Genomic DNA, 17,536 nt, shown 5'->3' on the forward strand with positions numbered 1-17,536 from the left:
CTGTAGTCTCAGCTACACGGGAAGCTGAGGCAGGAGAGTTGCTTGAACCTGGGAGGTTGCAGTGAGCCAAGATGGCGCCACCACACTCCAGTCTGGGTGACAAAGCAAGACTCCATCTCAAAAAAAAAAAAATAATAATAAAAAAGTAAAAAAAAAAATTCATGATCAGGCATTGGAAGGAACTGATGGTGTGGAAAAATGAATGGGGTAGGTGGATGGGAGATTAAGTACGCTGTTAGCTGAATGGGAATTGGAGGCCGGGCATGGTGGCTCATGCGCGTAATCCCAGCACTTTGGGAGGCTGAGGTGGGAGGATCACTTGAGACCAGGAGTTCAAGACCATCCTGGGCAACATAGTGAGACCTCCTCTCTACAAAAAATAAACAAAAGTAGCCAGGCGTTGTGGCATGCAAAAAAATAAAAATAAAAAATAAAGAGTTTGTTATGAGAACTGGCATTGTTGCTACACTGCCGATGGAACTAATTGGAGTGGTGAGCTGTGCAGAATCCAACTGAGACTGAAAGCCAGACCCCGCCGAGTGGAGAAGACAAGCCAGGTGTTCCCAAAGGTGTTCAGACACTAGCCTCGGCCCCTTCCCTGCCTTCCTGTGCCAACTGCAGAGAGAGGTGCAGGGTACACTCACTCCTGGGTCAGAGAATGTGGGGCCAAGGGAAAGGTAAGGAAAAAAAAAAAAGAAAAAGAAAAGAAAGGCTGGCAGGGTGCTGTGGCTCACACCTGTAATCCCAGCACTTTGGGAAGCCAAGGCAGGTGGATCACGAGGTCAGGAGATCGAGACCATCCTGGTTAACACGGAGAAACCCTGTCTCTACTAAAAATACAAAAAAAGTAGCCAGGCGTGGTGATGGGCACCTGTAGTCCCAGCTACTCGGGAGGCTGAGGCAGGAGAATGGCATGAACCCGGGAGGCGGAGCTTGCAGTGAGCCGAGCTCGTGCCACTGCACTCCAGCCTGGGCGACAGAGCGAGACTCCGTCTCAAAAAAAAAAAAAAAAAAAAGAATGCTTTCCTAGGAAAAAGAGCGTATCATGGAATTGGGGAGGGGACCTTGGAGGTCGCATAGTCCCATGTGGCCCAAACTGCAGTCATTCACAACCCCTCTTGGTGATTTTTCCCATTTCCCTTTTCCAACTTCAGCATGACTTACTGTTTCTCTTTCAGATGATTCCATTCTTTTCACTAAAATGATTTTAGTAAAATTAAAGGAAACTTTATTTAAAAAATGCTTTTAAACAAATGTTTAAGGAGGAAGATGTATATTACAATAGTAAAAAGAAAGCCAGTGGCAATGACCACAAACTGGGATGCTACATTGACAACAAGCACCACAGTTGCCTTCCAATACAGACTGTATCCACTAGCCCTCAGGCCCCATCGCCCTTCGTTAAAAAGGAAGATTAGAGGCCAGGTGTGGTGGCTCACGCCTGTAATCCCAGCACTTTGGGAGGCTGAGACAGGCGGATCACCTGAGGTCAGGAGTTCGAGACCAGCCTGGTGAACACGGCGAAACCCCGTATCTACTAAAAATACAAAATTTAGCCAGGTGTGGTGGTGCGTGCCTCCCAGCTACTTGGGAGGCTGAGGCAGGAGAATTGCTTGAACCCGGGAGGCGGAGGTTGCAGTGAGCCAAGATTGCGCCACTGCACTCCAGCCTGGGTGACAGACCGAGACTTCATCTCAAAAGAAAAAAAAAAAAAAAAGGAAGATTAGCAAGTGTTTACGGGACGTCAAGGGTACAGTGGACAGAAAGTGGCAGCAAGTGGACACTGTCCTCAATATACTCAGAGAGATGGAATGGATGGAAAGGGAACAGCTCTCTCCCATATGATTCAGGCCCTCACATGGCAGCTTAGAGGAGCTGTCTCAACTACTCATGGGTGGACTTGGATTAAGACCATCTCCACCCCCACATACACAGATGCACAGATGCCCACAGACACACTTGCTCAGCCAGACCTCCCTCCGCAGCCTCCCCCAGTGGGAGGCCAGATTTGGCAGACCTGGGCACTGTCCCTGTAGCCCCTGGCAATGATAGGGGTCCTGCTCTCCATAGACACACCAACCAGAAACATAACAGCAATGCCACTCCACCACTGCAGTGGCCACTGGAGCCACATCCTTCTCACCCTGCACACACCCCTGGGGCTGACTCTAGTCCCATGCAAGCCAAAATGGCTGGGCTTTGGGTGACCTGGATCATGACATCGCTCCTTGAGCCCTTCACCAGCCTGTCCCATCTGCTCCCCACTACCCCATTTTTCCTGGCTTAAGACCCCAGCCAGAGGTCCAGCGTGGTGGCTCACACTGGTAATCCCAGCACTTTGGGGGCCTGAAGCGGGAGGATCACTTAAGCCCAGGAATTTTTAGATCAGCCTGGGCAACACAGTAAGACCCTGTCTCTGCAAAATACTAAAAAATTAGCCAGGCATGGTGGTGCATACCTATAGTCCCAGCTACTCAGGATGCTAAGGTGGGAAGATCACTTGAGCCTGGGAAACAGAGCAAGACTCTGTCTTTTTTTTTTTTTAAAACGGAGTCTTGTTCCGTCCCCCATGCTGGAGTACAGTGGCACGGTCTCAGCTCACTGCACCCTCCGCCTCCTGGGTTCAAGAGATTCTCCTGCCTCAGCCTCCCACATAGCCGGGATTACAGGCACCCACCACCAAGCCTGGCTAATTTTTGTATTTTTAATAGAGAAGGGGTTTCACCACGTTGGCCAGGCTGGTCTTGAACTCCTGACCTCAGGTGATCCACCTGCCTCGGCCTCCCAAAGTGCTGGGATTACAGGCTTGAGCCACCATGCCTGGCCACTAATTACTATTAATTTATGAGTTTACCTGCTTCACATCCATCTCCCCTCTGTGAGCTCTGTGAGAACAGACCTCGTTCCCCACTGTGTCAGCACCCAGGAGATTCTCAACGTATGTCCTCAGATAACCAACTGATGTATGTTGAAACCTTGGGCAAGTTCCTACATGAACTCCTGAGCCAGCCACCCTTGGCTCTGAAGCCATGGCCGCTGCACAAGCTACACTTCTTTCATTTATTTGTGCAGCAATATTTGTTAAGTCAGGTTCCACACAGAAATCTCTAGAATGCCATCTCAGATCATGGAGGCTGGAGAGCAGACAGGATATTAACGGCGACTCTCTTCATCTTGCGGTTCTAGGAAAATGAGAAAACCCATCTTCAGAGAAAAACACCTGCCTAAAAACCCCCACCCCAGTCTGCAACTACAAAAAAAAGCTGTGGCCTTTCTCTTGTCTGTGGCAATAACACTCACAGCACTGGATATGGCAGGCACACGGCTGGCTGTGCCCTGATCCAGTGTTCAAGGCAAGCCTGTGGCCCACAGAGGCTGAGGCCATAGAGCTCTGTGGGCTCGGGGGCTGGACAGGCTTATCTCTGACCTTTATCATCCTGGCGGACAACATCACATGCCAAAAAGAGCAGTCACCGGGCGATTGTGAGTAAGCTCTTAGCCTGAGGCTCAGTGCACGGTGGGCGTTCAGGAAGTGGTGGCCACTGTCAGGGTTGTGACCAGGTGGTTCTCTGCTCAGAGCATCTGCTCTCTGTCCTGGCAGGTCTGCATGTCATGTGCTGTGGGCTGTGCACCATGACACATACCTTCCGTGTGCCAGGCTCAGAAGCACCATGTTCAGCAAGTCCCTTCCCTGCCCTTGAGAGCCTGCTGGGAGCAGGGAAGCCACACTCAACCACACCCTCTCGCTGAGCTTTACTGCTGGAAGAGTGGAGAGCCCGGGGCCTCCATGTGCCTTGCTAAGGAGTGTGGGCTGCTCCCGGAGCCACAGGAGCCATGGGAATCCGCACAGGAGCCACGGAGCGGCCCACACCTCCCAACCAGCTTTGGATCAGGGCAAGGGAGCCTCCCCTGGTCACCTCAGGTGGTACAGTCCTCGAGAGGGCCCTCTCTGCTCTTTAGACTTTTTTCCTGCGACTTCAAGGTTCCAAATCTCCCCGTGGCCAGTGTGGGAAAGGAATGAGTAGGAACCATCTGCAGGAGCTACATCGTCCAAGCCTTTGCTCTAAGCCAGGTGTGGTGCTGATTCTTTATGGCACTATCTCATTGAATCCTCCCAGTAGCCCCATAAAATTGGTACCGTTGCTGCCCACATTTCACAAATGAGGAAACTGAGGCACAGGCTGCTACAGTGTTTAAGGCCACCCACACAGCTGGAAGTGGCTGAGCTGCAGTGCCACCCTCTCAAAAAGCTGCACCAATCGTCCTCGACCTCAGCCCACATAGGCTCATGTCAGAATCACTGGAGAGTTTCAAAAGATGCTGGTGCTCAGACGCCACCCTGGACCATATACCAGTCCGTGGGAGCGAGGACCAAAATTTGGAGGGTTTTATTTAGTTTTATTTATTTGTTTATTTATTTCGAGACAGGGTCTCACTCTGTTGCCCAGGCTGGAGTGCAGTGGTGCAATCATGGCACAATGCAGCCTCTACCTCCCATGCTCAGGCTATGCTCCAGCCTCAGCCTCCCAAGTAGCTGGGGCAACAGGCACACACCACCATTCCCAGCTAAGTTTTTAAAATTTTTTTATAGAGATGAGGTCTCACTATGTTGCCCAGGCTGGTCTCAAACTCCTGACCTCAAGCCATCTTCCTGCTTTAGCCTCCAATGTGCTGGAATTACAGGCATGAGCCATGGTGCCCAGCCGTTTTGGGCGGGTTTTATTTATTTATTTAGAGACGGAGTCTCACTCTGTTACCCACGCTGGAGTGCAGTGGCGAAATCTTGGCTCACTGTAAACTCTGCCTCCTGGGTTGAAGAGATTCTCCTCCCTCAGCCTCCTGAGTAGCTGTGATTACAGGTGCACACCACCACACCCAGCTAATTTTTGTATTTTTAGTAGAGAGGATTTCACCGTGTTGGTCAGGCTGGTCTCGAATTTCTGACCTCATGATTTGCCAGCCTCGGCCTCCCAAAGTGCTGGGGTTACAGGCATGAGCCACCGTGCCCAGCCTAATTTTTGTATTTTTGGTAGAGACAGGATTTCACCATGTTGGCCAGGCTGGTCTCGAATTCCTGACTTCAGGTGTTCCACCCACCCCGGCCTCCCAAAGTGCTGGGATTACAGGCATGAGCCACTGCGCCCGGCCCATTTTGGGTGGGTTTTAAACGCTCCCCAGGAGATTGTGCCATGCATTCCAGGTAGAGGCCCCCTGCCCATCACCCTCCTGGCACTTGGAAGGAGCACCCCGCAGCTGGTGTGGACCCGGCATGGCAGGGCGAATCTGGGGGCTGATGCATGCACCACAAGTCAGAGAAAGAAGAGGTGTATCGGATCCCAGGCTGTACCCAGGAAAGCAACCTCTGGGTTGGCTGCCGCAGAAGAAGAAACCAAGAGAGCAGGCCCTAGCCTGGCGTGATAGCCTTTCCCCCCATGGGGTGTCTTTATGAGTGGGGGTGTTCCCAAGGCACAGAGCACAAAGGCTCCCTCTGGCCCCAGGCAGTGCCCAGACACTGCCCTGCCCACTCAGCCTACATCCGGGGCCAGCCCCTCAACCCCCCACATTCCTGCAGGGACCCCGTGAGGCAGGAACAGACAGGGCTTTCAGAATGCGCGCCTGCTGGTGGGATGAATTATCACCGAAAATTATCTGCCATGAGAGCCGGCTGGCATTTCACGTGCCAAAGGTTGGCTGGCCCCTCCCCGGCCCTGGCTGCTTGGCTCCAGGGCCCTCATTCCAATTTTGCAAGGACAGAAACTTTATTCTCTTCCATGAGAGGCCTCCGCCCCTCACCATCTGTGCAGATCTTCCCTCTCCCAGCTGCCCCTGACCCCCACTCAGGGCCAGAGCCTTCCTTCCTCATGGCTCAGCACCAGGATGGATTAGACAAGGGTGATTCAAAAGTCAAGTTTCCCAGGTCTGTTTAAGCCACAGATTTTATTGATGGGGAAAGTCACTGCTACTAACATGTCCAGCCCAAATCTGTTGTAGTTTTTCTGCATGAGTCCCTGACAAATGCAAACAGCTGCTGCAGCCTGGGCAAGCTCATTTTGGAAGGAACTTGTCCGAGTTTCTTGGAGCCCAACAGCCTTCAGTTTGAATCCTGGTTCTGCCACCTACCACCTGTGGAACCTATGCTTGCTGCTTGATGTCTCTAATCTCTGGTTCCTCATTGTTTTTTGGGTTTTGTTGTTGTTGTTGTTGTTTTGTTTTGTTTTTGTTTTTGTTTATTTTTTGAAACAGGGTATTGCTGTGTCCCCCAGGCTGGAGAGCAGTGGCGTGATCTTGGCTCACTGCAGCCTCTGCTTCCCTGGCTCAAGTGATTCTCCTGCCTCAGCCTCCCGAGTAGCTGGGATGACAGGTGCCCACCACCATACTTGGCTAATTTTTGTAATTTTAGTAGAGACAGGGTTTTGCCTTGTTGGCCAGGCTGGTCTCAAACTCGGGACCTCGCCTGGGCCTCCCAAAGTGCTGGGATTACAGGCATGAGCCACCGCACCCCAGCTAGCTTCCTCATTTGTAGAATGGGAGTGACAACCTTGATCTCCCAGGAACATTGTGAGGTTAAAATGAGGTCATGGACATGAAAAAAGTCCATAAATGGGAACATAGAAGGCACTTGGAAAAATGAGGCAGGATGCAACGTACATGATATCAAAGACTGACTTAGGGCATCACCCTCGGTCTGACCTTCAGCATCTCAGGTTGGGGTAAACCCAGAGTGAATTGTTAGCAAGCACAGGGATATCTTCACAAGTGATGCCTCTCCTTTGTCCAGAAAGAGCAAATTTCATTCATCCATGTGTCTACTCAGGTTGTTTAGTAGTGACTATCTATGTGAGCTGCCCAGTGCAAACAAGGACTCAGCGATTAGCAATGTCTGCTGAGAATAAGAAATTAGAGTGGTGGAATGTATGCTACATTTTGCCATTTCTATTATAGAAAGTATTATGTCTAAATAATACTTCCACTCTAGCTCTTACCTGGATTTGTTGACAGCCTCCACACTGATCTTTCTGTTTCTTATATCTTCCCATCCTTTGACCCTCAACTTCCACTGCTGGAGTGAATTTTCTGAAATAAAAATCTGACCAAGCCTGATGCAATGGCTCATGCCTATAAGCCCAGCACTTTGTGAGGCTGAGGTGGGAGGGTCACTTGAGGCCAGGAGTTCAAGACCAGCCCAGACAACACAGCAAGACTCCATCTGTAAAAAAAAAAAAAAAAAAAATGTTCATTAGCTGGGTGTGGTGGCACGCACCTGTAGTCCCAGTTACTTGGAAGGCTGACGTGGGAGGATTGCTTGAGCCTAGAAAGTTGAGGCTGAAATGAGCTCTGACTGCACCATTGCACTCCAGCCTGGATGACACAGTGAGACCCTGTCTCTTAGAAAAAAAAAAAATCTGGGCTGGGCACAGTGGCTCACCCCTGTAATCCTAGCACTTTGGGAGGCTGAGGTGGGTGGATCACTTGAGTCCAGGAGTTCGAGATCAGCCTGGCCGATGTGGTGAAACCACATCTCTACTAAAAATATAAAAATTATCGGAATGTGGTGGCACACGCCTGTAATTCCAGCTACTCGGGAGGCTGAGGCAGGAGAATTGCTTGAACCAAGGAGGTGGAGGTTGCAGTGAGCCGAGATCATGCCACCACACTCCCACCTGGGTGACAGACAGACTCCATCTCAAAAAGAAAAAAAAAAAATCTGTTCCTTTGTTTTAGTCTTTTCTCAGTTTGCTATAAAGAAATACCTGGCCAGGCACGGTGGCTCACGCCTGTAATCCCAGCACTTTGGGAGGCCAAGGCAGGCGGATCACAAGATCAGGAGTTTGAGACCAGCCTGACCAACATGGTGAAACCCCATCTCTACTAAAAATACAAAAATTAGCTGGGCATGGTGGTGGCTGCCTGTAATCCCAGCTACTTAAGAGGCTGAGGAAGAAGAATCACTTGAACCCAGGAGGCGGAGGTTGTGGTGAGCTGAGACTGCACCACTGCACTCCAGCCTGGACGACAGAGTGAGACTCTGTCTCAAAAAAAAAACAAAAACAAAAACCTCACTCACCATCATGAGGAAGTACCAAGGGTATGGTACTAAACCATTCATGAAAAACCTACCCCCATGATCCAATCACCTCCTGCCAGGCCCCACCTCCAATACTGAGGATTACAACTCAGCGTGAGATTTGGGCAGGATGTGGATCCAAGCCATATCACCCTTTTACTCCATTACCTGTCACCACCCCAAGGTTCCCCGCATTGTTCTGAGGATCAAATCCGGCTCCCATGGGTGAAAATCAAGGCCTCCATTAACGTTCCCAGTCTCATTTATGGCTACTCACTTCCAAACATCTCAACCTCGAACTCCATTAATCTGAGGATCTTCAAGAACCAAGATGTGAGGATTGGAAGCAGCTCGGAAAGTTAAACTGAGAACCTTGTTCTTGATGCACAAGACCAGATCAAGATCAGAGGGGCAGCAAAAAAGAAACCTCACTTCATTTGCCACCAGTGAGTTTAATAAACCAGAAGGGAGACTTTTTTTTTTTTTTTTTTTTAGACAGAGTCTTGTTCTGTCACCCAGGCTGGAGTGCAGTGGTGCAATGTTGCAGCCTACTGCAACCTCCGCCTGCCGGGTTTAAGCGATTCTCGTGCCTCAGCCTCCTGAGTAGCCTTAACTACAGGCACGTGCCACCATGCCCAGCTGATTTTTGTATTTTTTAGTAGAGACGGGGTTTCGCCATGTTGGCCAGGCTGGTCTCCAGCTCCTGACCTCAAGTGATCCGCCCTCCTCGGCCTCCCAAAGTGCTGGGATTACAGGCATGAGCCACTGCGCCCAGCCTACTATTTATTTATTTTAGAGACAGAGTCTCCCTCTGTCGCCCAGGCTGGAGTGCAGTGGGGCAATCATAGCTCACTGCTGCCTAGAACTCCTGAGCTCAGGTGATCCTCCCACCTCAGCCTTCCAAGTATCTGGGACTACAGGTGCTCACCACCATATGTAGCCTAATAGCTGCTGCTTTAAAGAAAAATATGCAAACAGGCTTTTGGGGTTTTTTTTCAGTTTAACTTTTTACTTTGACATAATGTCAGTAAATAGAAAAGGTCCAAGAATAGTACAAGGGATTTCCCTAGACTCTTCCCCAGGTTCACCAGTTGCTCACATTTTGCCGTATTTGCTTTGTCATTCTCTTTTTTCTAAACCATTTGAGGGTAGGTTGCAGATATGATGACCCTTTGGCCCTAAATACTTCAGGTGCGTTTCCTAAGAACATGGACATTTATCACAGCACAATTAGCAAAACCAAGAACTTTAACATTGATGGGGCTAGGCGCAGTGGCTCATCCTGTAATCCCAGCACTTTGGGAGGCCGAGGCAGGTGGATCACCTGAGGTCAGGAGTTTGAGACCAGCCTGGCCAACATGGTGAAACCCCGTCTCTACTAAAAATACCAAAATTAGCCGGGCATGGTGGCATCTGCCTGTAGTCTCAGCTACTTAGACGGCTGAGACAGGAGAATCGCTTGAATCCAGGAGGCAGAGTTTGCTGTGAGCCAAGATCATGCCATTGTACTTCAGCCTGGGCATCAGAGACTCTGTCTTGAAAAAAAAAAAAAGAACTTTAACATTGAGGTAATATTATTCTTAATTTACAGATCTTATTCAGATTTGATGTCTCAATAGTGCCTGTTTTTGTTTTTGTTTTTTGTTGGTTTTTTTTGAGACACAGTTTTACTCTCTTGCCCAGGCTGGAGTGCACTGGTGTCATCTTGGCTCATTGCAACCTCCACCTCCCAGCTTCAAGTGATTCCCATGTCTCAGCCTCCCAAGTAGCTGGAATTACAGGCGTGCATCACCACGCTTGGCTAATTTTTGCATTATTAATAGAGATGGGGTTTTGCCATGTTGGTTGACCAGGCTGGTCTCAAACTCCTGACCTCAAGTGATCCACCCGCCTTGGCCTCCCAAAATGTTGGGCTTACAGGCATAAGCCACCACATCCGGCCTCAATAATGCCTTTGGAGCAATTTTTTTCCTGGTTCAGGATCCAATCCTGAATAGCACATTGCATTTGACTGTCATGTCTCTCTAGTCTCCCTTAACTCTGAACCAGTTCCTCAGCCTTTGTTTGTCATTTATGACATTGTCATTTTGGAAGACTACAGGCCATGTGTTTTTTAGAATAGTCCTCAATTTTCATTTGTCAGATGTTTCCTCGAGATTAGATTCAGGTGATGTATTTTCCATGGGAAATCACGGAAGTGACATTATGTCCTTCTCAGTGCATGATATGAAGCACCTAATGTCAGTGTGTCCTATCATTGGCAATGGTTTACTTTGATCACTTGGTTACAGTGGTGTCTGCCAGCCTTTATTTATTTCTTTATTTTTTTGAGACAGAGTCTTACTCTGTCGCCCAGGCTGGAATGCAGTGGTATGATCTTGGCTCACTGCAACCTCCACCTCCGAAGCTCAAGCCATCCTACCACCTCAACCTCCTGAGTAGCTGGGACTACAGGTGCACACTAACATGCCTGGCTAATTTTGGTATTTTGGTATATATATATATGTATATATATATATGTATATATATATATGTGTATATATATATATGTATATATATATATGTGTATATATATATGTATATATATATGTGTATATATATGTATATGTATATATATATATGTGTATATATATATGTATATATATATATATATATTTTTTTTTTTTTGTAGAGATGGGGTTTTGCCATGTTCCCCAGGCTGGTCTTGAACTCTTGGGCTGAACTAGTGATCTGCTTGCCTCAGCCTCTCAAAGTTTTGGGATATAGACTGACCTTACCAGTCTTATCTAATGTAAAATTACTGTTTTCTCTTTATAAATAATAAGTCATTTGTTGGGGAGTACATTGAGACTATATTGATATTCTATTTCTCATCCAACTTTCAAACTCTAGTTTTACCATCTATTGGTGATTCTTGTCTATATTAATTATTACTCTGGTATAGCAAAATTGTGACTTTTGTCTGGGCATGGTGGCTCACGCCTGTAATCCCAGCACTTTGGGAGGCTGAGGCAGGAGGATCACTTGAGCCAGGAACTTTGAGATCAGCCTGGGCAACATGGTGAAACCCCATCTCTACAAAAAATACAAAAGTCAGCCAAGTGTGGTGATGTGCACCTGTAGTCCCAGCTACTTGGGAGGCTCAGGTGGGAGGATCGCTTGAGCCTGGGAAGTAGAGGCTGCAAAAAGAAATGTTATTCAAAATTTATAAACACAGTGCTCTTCATTTGAAATTTTAGTTTCTCCCCATAGCTTGTTTTAGTTCTATTGGAAATAACGGGTAAGTAAATTTTCTTTTTCGCCATTCTCAGATTGTCTTCTTGTTTTTTCCTTTGTTTCAATGAAAGAAATTAACCCATTTATGTATAGTAGGGCTAATATGTTTGGTCATTTTCTAGGCATCTTGCTTATGTTTATTTGTTTGTCTCCTTAATATGAATGGAGGAGAATTAGGAGCACTTTTATCTGCCAGTGCCTAACATCTGGTCTGGGGCATAGTAAATGCTCATCAAATGTTTGTGGAAAATTGACGAACGGCTCAACAAGTGGCTTTACCCTGTAGCTGGATAGATAGACACAGGGTCTTGACTTCACTGTGATAATAATGATAACTATCACAGAAGTTACCTTTAAGTTGAATAACATGGTATTCAATTTAATATATATATTAGACAACAATCACCAATTATGAATAGTCTTAGCAAAGGGCCTGGATATGGTAATCCCTGAATAAATTGTACCTGTTATTTATCAAGCATTGACTAAGACCCAGGCATGCTGCTACACAATCTTATTTAATCCTCACAAGAATCCTATTGTACAAGGCCGGGTGTGGTGGCTCACGCCTGTAATCCCAGCACTTTGGGAGGCCAAGGCAGGAGGATCATTTGAGGTCAGGAGTTTAAGACAAGCCTGGCCAACATGGTGAAACCCCGTCTCCATTAAAAATACAAAAATTAGCTGGGTATGGTGGCACACACCTGTAGTCCCAGCTACTTGGGAGGCTGAGGTAGGAGAATCACTTGAGCCCGGGAGGGGGAGATTGCAGTGAGCCGAGATCGCACCACTGCACTCCAGCCTGGGTGACAGAGTGAGACTCCATCTCACACACAAAAAAAGAAAAGCCAGAAATGCAATAGAGATCCAGGCAGAGGGGCCTAGTCTGCCCTCTTCTTGGGCCTAAGCATTGACCACTGAGCTTGAACTAGACTTATTGGAGGTTTTTTGTATTGTTCTGTTTTGTTTCATTTTGTTTTGTTTGAGACTAGGTCTCACTCTATCACCCAGGTTGGAGTGCAGTGGTGCAGTCACGGTTCACTGAACCCTCAACCTCCCAGGCTCAAGCGATCCTCCCTCCTCAGCCTCCCAAGTAACTGGGACTACAGGTGCACACCACCACTCCCAGCTAATTTTTGCATTTTTTGTAGAGATGGGGTTTTGCCATGTTGCCCAGGCTGGTCTCAAACTCCTGGGTTCAAGTGATCCACCTGCCTCGGCCTCCCAAAGTGCTGGGGTTACAGGCATGAGCCACCGTGCCCAACCAAGACTTACTGTTTTAACCACATAATTTACTCTGCAAACATTACAAAAGGGTTATGCAGATCTATACTAACACAGAAAGACACCCCTGATACTTTATTAAATAAAAGAAAGTTTGGGGGACTGGGCACAATGGCTCACACCTGTAATCCCAACACTTTGGGAGGCCAAGGCCAGCAGATCACTTGAGTTCAGGAGTTCAAGACTAGCCTGGCCAACATGGTGAAACCCCATGCCACATACCTGTAGTCCCACCTACTAGGGAGGCTGAGGCAAGAGAATTGCTTGAACCAGGCAGGTGGAGGTTGCAGTGAGCTGAGATCTTGCCATTGCACTCCAGCCTGGTCGATGGAGCGAGACTCCATCCCAAAAAAAAAAGAAAGAAAAAGAAAAAAATAAGCGATTCCCCTGCCTCAACCTCCAGAGTAGCTGGGACTACAGGTGCGCACCGTCATGCCCAGCTAATTTTTTTGTATTTTTAGTAGAGACGGGGTTTCACCATGTTGGTCAGGATGGTCTTGATCTCCTGGCCTCGTGATCCGTCCACCTCGGCCTCCCAAAGTGCTGGGATTACAGGCGTGAGCCACCACGCCTGGCCAAGAAAAGAAAAATTTTAAACCACATGTAGAGTGTAGTTTTATTTCTATAAAATTGTATGTATGTATAGTGAGGAGGGAAAGTGTTATTTTAAACAGAAGTGATTGCAGGAGCTCTTCCATTTGCATAGAATATTGCCTGATAGGATACGTGGTATGCAAGAAGGGCAGTCACAAAAGGCCACATATTGTATGATATCATATATACAAAATGTCAGAATTGGCAAGTCCAGAGAGACAGAGATTCATGGTTGCCAAGGACTGAGGGGATAGGGAGTAACTGCTTGTAGATATGAAGGTTTTCTTTCTTCTCTTTCTTTCTTTCTCTCTCCTTCCTTCCTTTCTCTTTCCTTTCTCTTTCTTTCTTTCTCTCATTCCTTTCTTTCTTTCTCTTTCCTCTTTCTCTCTTTCCTTCTTTCTTTCTCTCTTTCCCTTTCTTTCTTTTTTCCTTCCTTTCTTTCTCTTTCTTTCTCTCTTTCCTTCCCTTCCTTCCTTCTTTCCTTCCTTCCTCTCTCTCTCCTTCCTTCTTCCCTCCCTCCTTCCTTCCTCTTTCTTTCTTTCTCTCTTCCTTCCTTCCTCTCTCTCTCCTTCCTTCCTCCCTCCCTCCTTCTTTCCTTCCTTCCTTTCTTTCTAATTTCTTTCTTTCTCTCTCTCCTTCCTTCCTCTCTCTCTCTCCTTCCTCCCTCCCTCCTTCTTTCCTTCCTTCCTTTCTTTCTTCTTTCTTTCTTTCTCTCTCTCCTTCCTTCCTCTCTCTCTTTCTCTTTCCTTCTTTCTCTCTCTTTCTTTCTCTTTTCTCTCTCTCTCCTTCCCTTCCTTCTTTCTTTCCTTCCTCCCTTCCTGTCTTTCTTTCGTTGCTCTCTCTCCTTCCTTCCTCTGTCTTTCTCCCTCTCTCTCCCTCTCTCCTTCCTTCCTCTCTCTCTCTCTCCACCCCCACCCACCCGAGGCTGGAGTGCAGTACCATGATCAGGGCTTTGATTCATGTCTGTCCCGTGAAGACAGCTCCACCCTTCATCCCCAGGATCCAGGCGAGCCTGGCACAGAGTAGGCACTCAGTAAATAGTTATTGACTAGGCTGAAGAATTAGTACCTTGCAAGAGGCAGATGTGAGCTCTGGAAGATGACATCAAGAGCTTTCTCTGGGTGGTGCGATTTTTTATTAAAGTATAGCATGACAGCAGAGTGCTCACTTCTTAGGCGTAGCTCAGTGACCATACAAATAAACGCACTTGTGTAAGTAGCTGGGAGGTGTGATATGGAGTAATTTTATTTTCCTTTTTGTCCTTTCTGGCTGGTTTAAATCTTTTTCAGTGATGTAATGAGCATCACTTACAGGGTCTGTGTCATTTTTACAAAATGCCTTTTTCGAATGAAGAAAAAACATCCATTTTCAATTATTTGGGATGTGGAAGGAACCCATGGGGTGATAAGAATTTTTTCCTTCCCTTGTTTTCTTTTACCTCCCTCCCTCCCCCGACCCCAGCAGGAGCACGCTTCTGGTGTTTTAGATACCCCCTTTCTCCCTCCAGGGGTGGTTTGGAGTTTTTACAAAGATCCTGAAGTGTTTGCTGAGCTCAGAATTAAAATCAAGGTAAACAAAGTAAATCTCTTTGTTTTGAGAAAATTATACAGCTGTTTGTGTTTGACACTTCTTTTTCTCCAAAGGCTGGAGTTTGGGGGATTTGGAATATCTGGCTTTTATTTTTATTTTTATTTTTTTATTTTTTATTTTTTTTTGAGACGGAGTCTCGCTCTGTCGCCCAGGCCGGACTGCAGACTGCAGTGGCGCAATCTCGGCTCACTGCAAGCTCCGCTTCCCGGGTTCACGCCATTCTCCTGCCTCAGCCTCCCGAATAGCTGGGACTACAGGCGCCCGCCACCGCGCCCGGCTAATTTTTTGTATTTTTAGTAGAGACGGGGTTTCACCTTGTTAGCCAGGATGGTCTCGATCTCCTGACCTCATGATCCACCCGCCTCGGCCTCCCAAAGTGCTGGGATTACAGGCGTGAGCCACCGCGCCTGGCCAATATCTGGCTTTTAAAATAAAGTCTTGAAATCTATTCTCAAAGATATGCCCAGATTAATAATTTGTATGTGATGAAGTGATTCATTCATTCATTCGTTCGTTTATTCATGTGTTCATTCACTGGTGTCTGCCTCTGTGCCAGGCCCATCCTGAGTGTGGGGAATATAGACACGGATCACATCTAGTCCCTGTCCCCAGGGAGACAGACATGGTCACAACAATCACTTCAAACCACGATTGGTGATTTAACGAGAGCTGGGTGGGTAAGATGTGGAGCAGAGGCTGACTGTCATCTAAGAGAAGGAACACTTGTGGTGGGTTTTGAGGTATACATAGAAGTTTTCCATGCAGAGAAGAGGTGGAAAGGCATTCCAGGCAGAAGGAACAGCTGTGCTAAGGCACAAAGACCGAGATAGCATAGAGCATTGGGTGCAGTGGTCATGAGCATCAGGGCCTAGCCAGGCTGCTTGGGTCTGAGTCCTGCCTTACACATCTCTTAGCTGTATGATCCAGAGCAAGTTTTTGCTCTCTCTGTGCCTCAGTTTCCTCACCTACGAAGTAGAGGTAATGACAACACCTATATTATAGAGTTGCTAAGGGTTAATTCAGATAAACCAAGTAAAGCGCTTAGGCCAGGCCCTGCACAGGATAGGCGTTCGGTAAATTGTCAGCGCCTAGTTAGGGTGAGCTGAGTACTGGGAAACAGGTGCCATAATTGAGATGGAGCAGGTGTGAGGGCAGAAAAGGGTGGATTCGTTTCATGCTCTTGGGAGACGTCCTGATACGAAATCTGCGGGGGGAGGGCTGGGGGCAGTGGCTCACACCTGTAATCCCAGCACTTTGGGAGGCTGAGGCGGGCAGATTACGAGGTCAGGAGATCGAGAACATCCTGGCTAACATGGTGAAACCCCATCTCTACTAAAAATATAACAAATTAGCCAGGCATGGTGGCACGCACCTGTTGTAGTCCCAGCTACTCAGGAGGCTGAGGCAGGAGAATCGCTTGAACCCCAGAGGCAGACGTTGCAGTGAGCCGAGATCGCGCCACTGCACTCCAGGCTGGGTGACAGAGCGAGACTGCATCTCAAAAAAACAAAAAGAAAAGAAAAGAAATCTGCGGGGGGAGATGCCCGGCAGGTTCCTGTAAGCCTGGAGGTCAAGGCTGGGCCCCAGGTCCAGCCCCTACCCACTTCCATCTCCTGCTTCAAGGCTTTGAGGACTGACCCCCAGGAGCTGTGGGCCTGCCAGCTCCAGGCACCGGTGACAGATACTGTCACACCCAGCCCCAGTGGAGCCTGCATGGGACACAGCCAGCTGGGCTGTTGCCTCAGCGTGAGAAAATGGAAGGAAGCAAGGCCCAGTCAAGGGCAGGACCCAGAGATAGGGCCAAGGGCGCCCGTCCTTCCAGGAAAACAGTCTGGTGAGCAGGCTTCAGCTCATCACCTTGCAGCTGGCTGGCCTGAAGTCACAGTTTACTTGGGCACAGTGGGGTGATTTGGTTCCTTTTTTACTCCCAATGCCACCGAATGCCCCATTACCCAGAGATTTTGTGTCTCCTCAGGGTACCCTGCTAAAGGCTTCACATTTGGGCTTACAAAGGAGAAAATTTGTTTACCTCCCCTTTACAGATAAAGACACTGAGGCTCAGAGAGGTGAAGTGACTTGTCTGAGGACACACAGCTCGTCAGACAGGCCTGCCTGCCCCTGGGGCCTGAGCTCCTAACCGCTCTGATGCAGTCTTCATCCCAGTGTTCTTTCAAAGCAGACGTGGGTGACCCACATTTAACTTTAACAGTAACTTTTGTCTGGGGGTGGTGGCTCACGCCTGTAATCCAAGCACTTTGGGAGGCTAAGGCAGGTGGATCACCTGAGTTCAGGAGCTTAAGGCCAGCCTGGCCAACATGGCAAAACCCTGTCCGTACTAAAAATACAAAAATTAGCTGGGCCTGATGGCACGTGCCTGTAATCCCAGCTTTTCAGGAGGCTGAGGCAGGAGAATCACTTAAACCCTGGAGGCGGAGGTTGCAGTGAGCCGAGATCGTGCCATTGCACTCCAGCCTGTGCAACAAGAGTGAAACTCCGTCTCAGAAAAAAAAAAAAAAAGTAACTTTTGGAAAGCATGGAGATTACATAAAGAGAGGTAATCTCTGAACATGTGCTGCTGAGTTTTATGGTAGATAATTTTTTTAAGGAGGTTGTAGGCCTCATCTGCTAAAAATATTTATGTAAAAACTTGGAAGCTCGTGGAGGCAGGAAACGGTAATTACCACAAAGCACTTGGTTGCACAAATGCCAGCCAATCCCCAGGCCATG

General features: G+C 47.9%; 1 annotated feature.

The window, feature by feature from the left end:
- Window positions 8,959–9,008: an enhancer, noted in NCBI's record as "active region_28990". NCBI's record gives its function as "activates an Ori minimal core promoter by ATAC-STARR-seq in GM12878 lymphoblastoid cells {active_cell/tissue: GM12878}" and the evidence as "EXISTENCE:reporter gene assay evidence [ECO:0000049][PMID:35858748]".

Source organism: Homo sapiens, chromosome 9 (assembly GCF_000001405.40).
Source record: "Homo sapiens chromosome 9, GRCh38.p14 Primary Assembly".
Lineage (NCBI taxonomy): Eukaryota > Metazoa > Chordata > Mammalia > Primates > Hominidae > Homo > Homo sapiens.